Genomic DNA, 12,551 nt, shown 5'->3' with positions numbered 1-12,551 from the left:
CAGATCAGGAGGTGACTGCCATTGAAGAGATAGTTTGTTTCTCAAGGTTCCCAGGAAAGGGGGCACACCATAGCATGGGGGTAGGGGTGGGGCAAACAGGGAAGCCTCAGTCTTGGTCAGGAGGCAGAGGGAAAGGGAATAACTGTGGGCAATGCAAGGGCGAGGTGGTGGGGGCAGTCTTAGGATTGGATAATTTGAATAACTTCAGCAGGCTCTGAGGCATAGGGACTGTCTGTAGTTACCCGATACCTGCTCCTGTGGTGATTAATAGATAATGGAGTATGACAGCCCCATTAAGGAAATGGTTGGGGTGCGGGCTCTGTTTTGGTTTGCATTTGAAGAACACACTAGAGAGCAAGTTGTTTACTACCTCTAGGGATTGGTTAACACTGGGAGAAGTTCCTCCAGGGTCAGCAAAACCCGAGATGTCAAAGCATCCAAATATAGCAAATACAAGACAAGATTAATACACTTACCTACTCCCATAGTTTTGAAAATTTCTTTCCCTGGAAAATAATAAGCACTCAATACATGATAAATATCATTTTTATTGCATGCCAATTTGCTTTACCACACAAAAATATAAAAGGCTGCTTCTATCCTCAAACATTTAAAAGTCAAGCTGCATAGGTAATACATAAACACAAAATGTAACATAAAGAATTGTAAGTACCAAAAGAGCAATACAAACAATGAGAGCTAGGGAAGTTCTGCAGGTACCATGTGACTCTGGGCTGGGATGATTTGAGTAGAGGTGGGAAGAACTCAGGGGGGCTCTTGAAGAAGAAATGAGACTGATAAGAAGGGAGAAAGGCAGAGGAACATTGCACCAGAATGTAGATTCCAGGAAACCATGTCTGGCTTGTTCACCACTGTGACCATTAGCACCTAGCACAGTGCCTGGCACAAGATGGGCAGACTGGTAAATATGGGTTGGATGAAAATGAATTCTGGGCCCGAAGGGATGTGGCTGCATGATTGAGGGACTCTAATGAGACAAATTTGAATAATGAATAAATATGTTTGGAAAAGTAGGTTGTTAATTTGGGTCCTCCGAGAAGCAGATGACAAGATGGGATTAAATATGCAAGGGTTTTATTAAGGGAAGCATCTGAGACAAGGCGGGGCTGGGGATCCAGGCAAGAGCTGGGGAGTCATCAGCCCATGAGCAAAGGGGAGAAAGGGAAGGCTGGGTAGACAAATTCACGATGCAGTCTAGGGAAGACCATCAGGGAGCCCTTGACTCAAAGCTGGCTGTCAGATGTTTGGGAAATTGCCCAAGAACAAATATCAGAGTCAGAACCAGAACCCAAATCTCCTTCTTTATTCCCAGGGTCAGTGCTCTTTCCTTTTTTTAATGAGTAAAGAAAAGCGTTTGGAGGTCAAATGGCCGTCCCTGAATTGAAGAAGAATTTTGGCTCAATCCATTCTGAGTTCAGTGATAAGGCATAAAACTTACTGGAAAATTATGTAAAAAGATAATCTGTAAGCCATATGGCTTGCTGGTACTAGGTCCAGGCTGGCACCTAAAAAAAACACCTGAAGAATGTCAGTGCCAACTTCCTGCTTTGTATTTGCAACTCTTCTTTAGCAAGGAGAAGCCATAGAATATAATGAACAAAGCACTGGACAAGGTCATTGGCCAGGTGGCTGACCTCTCTAGGCTCTATTTCCTCATGAATGAAGTAAGGGTTTAGACTAGATGTGTACAACAGCCCACCCAGCTCTCTGCATGAGAATTCTAAGAACCCAGATAGGTATGAATGTCGTGGCTTCAGTAATGGAGGGCGAGAAAGATCATGACTGTCACAGGTGGGGTGGGGTGGTGCCAGTGATGACTTCCTTTGGAGTTGTGCTGAAGGTGTGATGAGAGCATTGCTCTCTTTTTTGAGATGGAGTTTCACTCTTGTTGCCCAGGCTGGAGTGCAATGCTGCAATCTTGGCTCACTGCTACCTCTGCCTTCCGGTTTCAAGCGATTCTCCTGCCTCCACCTCCCAAGTAGCTGAGATTACAGGGGCCCGGCACCAGGCCTGGCTAATTTTTGTATTTTTTGTAGAGATGGGGGTTTCACCATGTTGGCCAGGCTGGTCTTGATCTCCTGACCTCGTGATCCGCCTGCCTCGGCCTCCCAAAGTGCTGGGATTACAGGTGTGAGCCACCACACCCAGCTGAAAGCATTGCTTTTTGTTCAAATACTTTTTATGTACCCAGTTCTGTGATTAGGCTCTAGGAGTAAAATGATGAGTAAGACATGGCACCTGGCATTGAGGAGCTCATAGTTTAGCTAGAAGATATGGTGAGAGGTAGTGTGGGATGAGGAAAGGAAGAGGGTGTGAGGGGAAGGCCTGTGGAACCACATAACTCTACATTGATTTCTTTAAGTACCTAATTCTCAGGGTTATGGGGAAGATTAGAAATGGCATAGATCAGCACTTTGGGAGGCGGAGGTGTGAGGATCACTTGAGCCCAGGAGTGCGAGACCAGCCTAGGAAACATAGCAAGACCCCCATCTCTACAAAAATAAAAAATTAAATAAAAAAATTAGCTGGACGTGGTGGTGCATCCCTGTTGGTGCATCCCAGCTACTCAAGAGCCTGGGGTGGGAAGTTTGCTTGAACCTGGGAGGTCAAGGCTGCAGTGAACCATGATCATGCCACTGCACTCCAGCCTGGGCAACACAGGGAAACCTTGTCCCTAAAAAAGAGAAAGAAATAGCATAGATAAGCAGACCGGAGCAGCATCAGAAACAAAAGTGGTATTCATACAAAGGTTTGCTGTCATCACTCGTGTGACAGGGTGAAAGATGGCTGATGATAACTCTCTCCAGGCTGCCCCTTTCCCCCATCTTCCACTGCTGGAGATGAAGAGACCCTTCCTTACCCGGCTCACCAGTGGACTGCCTCTGGTGTGAAACACTCTCTGAAGTGAGGCAAAAAATTGTGGTGCAGAATTTTAAAAAGCTGATGAGAGGAGATAAAAGATGTAGAGGGGAAGCTAAGGAGATCTAATAAGGATTTAGAGAGCGAGAAAGTGAGAAAGAGAGAGGAACAATGTCGCTTAGGGCCAGGGGAGAAGGGAGGAGAGAGGATCTGGAGGGTGGGTGGTGAACATGAGGCTGTGGAGTGCAGCAGAGAAGACTGGAAAAGGGAAAGGGGATAGAAATGTGTGGCTAGAGACTTGGGTCTTCCCTCCTTTTTTAAAAAGACAAAGAATAAAGTTTCCTTTTTGAATGGTTTTGGCTGCCTATGCCTCTTTAATCATGACATCATATCAAGACTGAGCCACAAGGGTTTGGCATTCTAACAGCTTGTATTACATACATGCATAATTGAAATGCATTGTGGTAATACAGGCATTTACAAAGACCTGGAAGAATTCAAGGGAGAAATAATTATTTCTTATGAATGGGTCAAAGAGAATAAAACGTTTGATTTGTTTGAGGGCTGGCTTTGACTCTTACTGGATGAATGGTCTTGGCAAAATCGCTTAAACTCTCTGAGCTTGAGCTTTCTCATCTATAAATGAAAGACTTTTTAAAAAATAAATGATCTTGTAAGACTTGACATAAGAATCAAATGAGATATCAAATATATAATATAAAATGAAAGGCAATTGAGAATAGGGGTTGTGAAGTTAGACACTTGGGTTTGAATCTTGGCTCAATGTGACCACGGGCAAGTAATAGGATATTTGTGGGAACCAGTAGTCAACGCATACAGTATTTGCACAATGCCTGGCACCTGGTAAGCTCTCAGGTGTTAAGATTCTCTTGGCACATCTTGAAGCTCTATGCAAGTGGCTGTTATTATTTTTGTTAGGCCAATGTCTAACAGTACCAAGCTGTAGAGGCAAAAATACCCAGGGGGTGAAGGTGAGGTACTGTATTATTTCCCCAATGCTGCTGTACCATTTACCACAAAGAACACAGACATATGTTCCTACAGTTCTGGAGGTCAGAGATATGAAACCCATTTCAGTGGGCTAAAGATAAGGTGTCTCAGGCTCGGCCTCTTCTGGAGGCTCTAGGGTAGAATCTGCTCCCTGGCCTTTTCCTGCTTCTAGAGTCCGACTCCATTCCTTGGTTCACTACCTCCCCCATCCATCTTCAAAGCCAACATCAGAGCATCTTCTCTCCTTTGTGACCTTGGCTTTGTCCTTACAACTTCTCTTTCTGCCCCGAACTCTACTGCCTCCTCTTATAAGGATGCGTGTGATTGCAACAGGCTCGCCTGCAGAATTCAGGATATTTTCTCCATCTCAAGAACCTTAACCATCTCTGCAAAGTCCTTTTTGCTATATAAGGTAACATCTTTACAAGGTCTGAGGATTAAGATGTCGACATCTTTGGGTGGCCATTATTCAGCCTATCACAGGTACCCAGGGAAGGAAAAAGGAAATTTCCAAGAAGGAAAAACTTGAAAATTGGGAAGGCTAATTGCAAATGGTGACTATTGAATAATTAGAAATATAATGAAGGCAGTGATGAGATGACAGCACAGATGCATGACCCAGTGCAGTCCCAGTGACTCCTGATAGGTAAAGGAGTGGATTTATTTGGCTGACTGCCGCCGGCCACCCTCACCTTCTTTAGGGCATCTCTCAATTGCTACTCTCACCTCTCTTTGTGTCTGTCCTTCTATCCCTTTTCCCCTGTTCCCCTCTGTGTCAAGAAGCTATCATGAGACCTGATTTATGAGACTTTGTCTTGAGGACCTGATTTTAAAATTTTGGCTCAGTCACTCCCACACTTCACGACCTTGGTCCAATCACTTAACCTCTCTGCACTTGAAATACCTTATTTATTAGAATAGGCATAATGCCAATTTCCTGAAGGGCTTTTGCAAGATATAATGTGAGATAACTCTTTGAGAAAATACTTGGCTCCAATCAATGCTAGCTTTCCTGTCTCTTTGTTGTTCCTCCAGTCCTCCTGTCTTTTGGGGTTCAGCAAATCTTTCTTTGAGACGTCCTCTGTGCTGGTCACTATTCCAGGAACTTCCACATATAGTGCCTCATTTGTTTCTCCTGACAACCTTACAGGACGGATTTATTTATTTCTTGTTATTGATGGGCATAGTGAGCTCCAGAGAGTCAAGGTAGCTTAGCAAGTCCATGTCACAGGAGGTGGCAGAGCTGTGATTCTGGTCTGAGACATCTGACTCCATTCCTGGCTGTGACATGGAACCACAGTGTACATTTTGTTGCTGAAAGATACAGTTCTAATTCCTTGCCACTTATTTTCAAAAGTAGAACAGTCAGAACATTCATTTACTTTTTTTTTAATAAAGCAACTGCAGTAAACACCTTCTTTTTTTTTTTTTTTTTTAAAGAAATAAAAGTCTTGTTCTGTCACCCGGGCTAGGGAGCAATGGTGCAATCACAGCTCACTGCAGTCTCAAACTCCTGGACTCAAGCCATCCTCCTGCCTCAGCCTCCCCAGTAGCTGGGGCTACAGGCACGTCCATGATGCCCAGTTAATATTTTATCTTTTTTAGAGAAGGGATCTCACTATCTTGCCTAGGCTAGACTTGAACTCCCAGCCTCAAGTGATCTTCCCACCTCAGCCTCCTAAAGTGTTGGGCATACATGCATGAGCTACCACACACAGCCTCAACAAATACCATCTATGGCAGAGCTTTTAACTTTGAATATGGCCCTTGGTTTTGTTGTGGGAGTCCACACCCATCCCCTAAAGAGCCACCCAGGGCCTGCTCCACGTGGCATGGCAGGCAATGCAAAATTCTGCTCTTTCCATTCAGAGGTGCTTGGCAGGTGGCCAGCCCATCGCTCTGAGCTCATGTTCCTGGTAGTTCATTTCTGCTGGGCTGGTCATGTGAAGGGAAGTGAATGACTGAAGGACACACAAGCTGTAATTAGTAGGAGTGGGAGTAAAATGTATCACGACGGTTTGTACCTGCACCAGCACGCACACCAGCAGCTGAGACACACACCAGTGGGCCACCCTGAGTGCTAACCTGTACTAGTGAGAGGTGGCATAGAGGGTACTGCCAGGCTCTGCCTCACTTACAGGAGAATAGAGAACAGTGTTGTCTCTGGAGAGCTGCAGTATTGAGAAGACAGGAATTGGCCAGCAGAAGTCTCTTTGAGCTAATGAGAAAATGGTGCCCCTTCCTGTGGGCAGGCATAGTTTCATGCCAAGGCACAAAGTCTGCCACACAGTACCTGAGTTGCATGTCAGTCCCCACCCACCCTGGGCTTCGGCAGCACCGCAGAGGGGCAAGAGCCTTGACTCTGGGTTTGAAACACAGCTTACTCACCTCTGCTTCTCTTCTTACAACCTCTCTATCTGACTCTGATTCTGCTTTACTGCCTCTCTTTTATGAGGACACCCCAAAGAAGCTGAGGGTGGCAGGATACATTTCTTTACCTTTTAGGAGTTGCTGGGACTAGAGTCATGCATCTGTGCTGTCATCTCATCACTGCCTCCATTATGCTTCTGACTAACCCTTCAGTAGTCACCATCTGTAATTAGCCTTCCCAATGTTCGTATTTTCTCTTTTTGGAAATTCCTTTTTTCTTCCCTGGATACCTGTGATAGGCTGAATAACGACCACCCAAAGATGTCAACATTCTCATCCTCAGAACCTGTGAAGATGTTATCTTATATGGTAAAAAGGATGATTAAATTAATGTTCTTGAGATGGAGAGAATAGCTTGACTTCTCCAGGTGGGCCCACTGTAACCACCCAGTGTTTTTATGAGAGGGAGGCAGTGGAGTTAGGGTCAGAGAACCATTTACTGCTGTCTGACCTTAGGCAACTGACTTCACTTCCCCTGTGACTTGGGTTCATTATCTATAAATTGGGGTGAACCATTATACCTAACTCAAAGGTTCTTGTCAGGGCCAGGTGCGGTGGCTCATGCCCATAATCTCAGCACTTTGGGAGGCCGAGGTGGGCAGATCACTTGAGGTCAGGAGTTGGAGACCAGCCTGGCCAACATGGTGAAACCCCATCTCTACTAGAAAAAAAAAATTAGCCTGGCATGGTGGCAGGTGCCTGTAATCCCAGCTCCTTGGGAGGCTGAGGCTGGAGAATCACCTGGACCCAGGAGGTGGAGGTTGCAGTGAGCCAAGATAGTGCCACTGTATTCCAGCCTGGGCAACAGGGCGAGATTCTATCTCATAGAAGAAACAAAAACAAACAAACAAACAACAACAAAAATCAAAGGTTCTTGTGATGGAGGAAGCAACAATTTAACCCATATGCAAGACAGAATGGTTCCTAGTCGTAGCAGGTACCACATGGAGGTGAGTTAATTTTATGCTTACTAGAGCTGCAAATTCAATTACTGGGAGGGAATAGAATCCTCAGTTCTCTCTCTTCTTCCAGTCCCAGGCCCCAGGCCTTTTTTACCCTACATGTCCTCTGTGAGTTTAGAAATGTACCCTGTGGTACCTCATCCTCACTGATCCCCTCGTGATAGCAGCAAAGTCACCTGGGAACTAAGCTTGCACTGATGCATGCTTCAACACATATTTGCTTAAGAGCTTAATTTGTATTGCTGAGTGTATTTGTTCAGAGAAAAGCTAAGCTGTTGAAACAAAGAAATCTAAAACTGTAGTGGTTTCAAGAAGGTAGACACTTACAATTTATGACCACCAGTAACTGTTTTGGGTCAGATGAGTCAGAATTTCCACCCTCAGACTGTCTTTCCAATAAGGTAACCTGTACATCCCCTAGTTAAAGTAGTCACATGCCAGTTATTTAGCCATGCACAGAAAATGGGACTCATTTACATGATCTCTAAACTTCATTTTATTTTATTTTATTTTCTTGAGATGGAGTCTCGCTCTGTTACTCAGGTTGGAGTACAGTGGTGTGATCTTGGCTCACTGCAACCTCCGCCACCTGGGTTCAAATGATTCTCCTGCCTCAGCCTCCCTAATAGCTGGGATTACAGGTGTATGCCACCACATCCAGCTAATTTTTGTATTTTTAGTAGAGACGGGGTATCACCATGTTGGCCAAACTGGTCTTGAACTCCTGACTTAAAATGATCCACCTGCCTTGGCCTCACAAAGTGCTGGGATTACAGGCGTGAGCCACCACGCCTGGCCTTAAACTTAAGATAATATTTAGACACAACCTGGGCTGTAATACATCTTAAAACATGTGAACAGTTCCATTATATCCTGCATCCCACATATCCTACTGGTTCCCGGCTCACTTTCCCCCTTCATCCTAGTAAACACCGTATTCTTCTGAGAAATCCACTCCAATGTTTTTCTTGTAGTGGTTGGATCAAAATGTCTACAGTCAAAAAAAGACTATTTTTACCTTAAGACTTAATTCAGTAGCTCTCTGCAACAGTTTTCTCTATCTATTAGAGTTGACAATAAATGTTCATTGTGGTAGAAGTTGCCAACTAAGAGAATGTCAATAATTGTAACTGCTGATTGTTATTAGCTGTAAATGGATCTGGCAAAATGAGCTCATTATCCATAAGAAATGGCATACATGTTGATTGCACACAAAAAGTGTAATGTGCATACAAGACAAAGCATAGAAATCACAATTTTTTTTTTTTTTTTTTTTTTTTTTTTTGAGACGGAGTCTCGCTCTGTCGCCCAGGTCGGACTGCAGACTGCAGTGGCGCAATCTCGGCTCACTGCAAGCTCCGCTTCCCGGGTTCACGCCATTCTCCTGCCTCAGCCTCCCGAGTAGCTGGGACTACAGGCGCCCGCCACCGCGCCCGGCTAATTTTTTGTATTTTTAGTAGAGACGGGGTTTCACCCTGTTAGCCAGGATGGTCTCGATCTCCTGACCTCATGATCCACCCGCCTCGGCCTCCCAAAGTGCTGGGACTACAGGCGTGAGCCACCGCGCCCGGCCAGAAATCACATTTAATCAAGTCTTTATTTTACCATCTGCTTAATTTTTCTCTTAAAAACCTCTGACACATAAACATTTGTGATGGGGGTAGTAGGTGATGCTGCTGTCTGTATTTCTTAGAACACCTGGAGGCCAGAGTTCCTACCCTAATTTCTCAGTGTCACACTAGCAGTTGCATGACACAGAGGTGGACCCATCACCCCCCTCTGCAGCTGGCACTCCTACCCAGGCACAATGTGACTCAGTGTGACCCTGTTCAGGTTGGAGCTATCTTTGGAGACACTGTCCCAGAAACAAATAAAACAATATAGGATGCTACATTGTCCTAGATGTATGAGGAAATTTGTATTCACTAACACATTGCTTATACATTTATTCATTTATTCAGCAAATGTTGATTGTCTACTCGCTCTGTTTTACTCAGTGTATTTGTCAGGATAAAGGTTAGACAGCTATAAGAAAGAAATTTAAAAATGCAGTGGCTTAAGAAAGAAAGAAGCCTTTGCTCTTTCCAATCACAGTCCAGGAAGTCCACGTTGGCAGAGCACCTTGGCTACACCTGTTCATTCAGGATCCTGTTGCCTCTCTATCGCATAGAGTATGTCTTTGCAATGCTTGTGTTTTGTGTAAGTGTTTAAAGGCCGCCTCACTACTCCTTTCCACATAAGAGGATCTGTATTCTCCAACACACTTTGAGAGTGTTTACACTTCGAAAGTGTTTACATTTGGACAGTGTTTACACTTCACTTTGACAAATCAGAAACATGTTAACTTAAGAAATGTCATTAAAATGTTCCCATGAAATTTATTTTTGAATATGTTGTCTTTTAGAAAAGTTTTTAGGCTGGGTGCAGTGGCTCATGACTGTAATCCTAGCACTTTGGGAGACCAAGGTGGGTGGATCACCTGAGCTCAGGAGTTCGAGACCAGCCTGGGCAACATGGCAAAACCCTGTCTCTACAAAAAATACAAAAATTAGCCAGGCAGGGTGGCATGCACCTGTAGTCCCACCTACTCTGGAGGCTGAGGTAGGAGGATCACTTGAGCCTGGGAGGCAGAGGTTGCAGTGAGCTGAGATCACATCAGTGCACTCCAACCTGGGTGACAGAGTGAGATCCTGAGATCCTGTGATCCTGTCTCAAAAAAAAAAAAAAAGAAACAAAGAAAAGTTTTTTTAATGTTTATACTCAAAAAGCAAGCAGTGTAAACAAGTTGTCTGCATTGGAAAGAAAGCCTGTGGAGGCACCAATGTGTATCTAAGCTAATACTGTAACCCCCAGTTCTGCTTGCTGCTGTAACCCCCAGTTCTCTAAGGAAAGGTTTTGCATAGAAGTCCAGACTGCTCTGCTCTACTGTTACTGAGCACGGAGCATTGATCTCATAAATCTTTTTGAAGAATGCTGACCTGGCTTTTACAGTTTTTGACATGCAGTATGGGGGAGAGTCCAACCTCCTTCTATGGACAAGAGAAAATAATCTTGCTAGCTGAGGTCATAGACACACTGCCTGGGGTCAGCAGCAAAGGAGGCAGAGAAAGACTGACCAGCCAGATCTCTCCCGCTATCGTCTCTCTCCCTACTTGCCTTGTTAGAGGAAGTCAATGTTGCATTAACGGTGTGTGTGTGTGTGTGTGATCAGAAGCTTTTTTGATAAGCCTATGCTTTGACATCCTAAACCTCAGAGTTTGACCTTAGGAAGGGGTTCCCAATACTTAGAATAAACCAGCCCTCTTCTGTATGCTCAAAACTACATCAAAAGCTTCCAGAAAGTGGAAAAGCAATTTCTTTTGAACAAAAGAGTTGGATGTGGCACACTCACCCTGTATTAATGAGAATGTGGTCACATGGCCATACCAAGCTGCAAGGGATGCTGGGAAATGTAGTTTCTGGCTGGCAGTCCTGTGCTTAAGTGAAACATGAGAGAAAGTAAGAAAAGATTGTGGTAGAGTAATTCCTCACTATGAGGTGGATTTTCAGTGCTCCACAGGAGTTCATTCTCATTTTCTCCCACCCTTTTCCAGAGATGTATTATATTTTAAAAGTTTCATTAAGCACAGTGAGACAACTCAACAGAGTAGAATCTCATGCCTTTCCCCCACTCCCCAACCCTCGCTCCCTGAAAGAGAGGATTGCCCCATCACTTACAGGGCAAGTGCAATCTTGCCATTCACTTCTTTCTTCCTTAGAGCACTGATTCATTGTTGCCATGAATTAAACATTGTTGCCATGCATTTCAAACACTCAGGTTCGCCCCAGGGGCTGCATATCCTACAAATGTTGAAAATGAACCCACCATCACGTGATTAGACATCAGGATACCATTAATTCTGCCACACATGTGACAAATCCTACCCAGCCCCAGACACCTCTATGCCAAACCAGGAGGGAACTATCTCAAGGTAATAATTAGACATACATCCTTCCCTGCTGTGATCAGGGCTTTGTGCTTGATGCTTTATGGACATTTTCTTTCATCTCTGAAGCTGTGTTTTCAGGCAGTTTCCTGGGATCACCTCCCAAATAAACTACTTGAAGCAACTCTTTGTATTTGACTTTACTTGAGAAGGAACCCAAATTATGATAGTCAGCTTAGATTAATCAAGATTTACTCCCCACTTCCACTTCCTAGAGCCAGGAAGAAATCTGTGTAACATGTGGGTGCCCAATATTACAGAACATTAGGGCTCTGATAGCAAGGAATAAGGGGAATGATTATGGGATAGGCACCTAGCAGTTCCCTCCAGTGTTTTTAGCAAACTCTATCTTTCTATATCCAAATGAATGGCTGGGCGCAGTGGCTCACACCTGTAATCCCAACACTTTGGGAGGCCAAGGAGGGCGGATCACCTGAGATCAGGAGTTCCAGCCTGGCAACATGGCAAAACCCTGTCTCTACTAGAAATGCAAAAATTAGCCAGGCCCGCACCTGTAATTCCAGCTACTTGAGAGGCTGAGGCAGGAGAATTGCTTTAACGCAGAAGGTGGAGGTTGCAGTGAGCTGAGATAGCGCCACTGCACTCCAGCCTGGGTGACAGAGTGAGAATCTGTCTCACAAACAAAACAAAAATTAATGAGTAGCTATCTGTCCCCACACTCTTGAACATGTATCTTACATTTTACAATTGTCTTGGGATTGCAATTGTCCTGTCTAGAAGGCTAAGGCTGCTAGAATGTCCACTTAGGTTTGCTCTGCTCAGGGTGAATTCAGAGAGCAGGCTCTGAATGGGCCCAGTACTCCCATTCATGTGGGGAGCCTTCTGTTTGGCAGCCCTGAGTGTCGTGTGACCAGACTAGGTGGCCCACTGGACCTGTTTAAGTCTGGATGTGGCAGGGTGAGCAGCCACATGCCCCTGTCCTGGGTCACTTAGCTCTCTGGGGAAGTCTCTTGCTCAGTACTTACCATGTTCCATTGTCATCATCTGCTTTTCAGGCTGCTTTTGAGATCCTGGGGCCAGGGCTGCCGTTAACCCAACTAGGAGCTTCACTCAATTTGTAATGCTCTTCCGCCTCTGGTTAGCGTCAGCTTCATAGACACATCTTGGCTTGTAGAATTTGTGCAATGTAGCCAGGGTCAGGGCCAAGGTTTATGAGCAGAACTTGGGCTAAATTTCAAGCCTCATCCTCCTTTGCCCTCTGCAATGGATGAGGCAATTTTGTGCAGTGCTCAAGCTGGGCAACCACACACAACAGCCTTGT

General features: G+C 44.8%; 1 long non-coding RNA gene across 1 annotated transcript; it reads right to left on the bottom strand.

Annotated features, from left to right (window-relative positions):
• Positions 1-9,701: 9,701 nt before the first annotated feature.
• LOC105374406 (uncharacterized) lies at positions 9,702-12,480 on the bottom strand. Its single transcript, XR_001741505.2, has 3 exons — positions 12,256-12,480; positions 11,001-11,123; positions 9,702-10,759 (listed from the first exon to the last, which is right to left on the bottom strand). It is a non-coding gene; the product is annotated as an uncharacterized LOC105374406 (long non-coding RNA).
• Positions 12,481-12,551: the final 71 nt, after the last annotated feature.

The sequence above is a fragment of the Homo sapiens genome, chromosome 4 (assembly GCF_000001405.40).
Source record: "Homo sapiens chromosome 4, GRCh38.p14 Primary Assembly".
In the NCBI taxonomy this organism is placed as follows: domain Eukaryota; kingdom Metazoa; phylum Chordata; class Mammalia; order Primates; family Hominidae; genus Homo; species Homo sapiens.
This window is presented reverse-complemented; position numbering and strand designations above follow the sequence as displayed.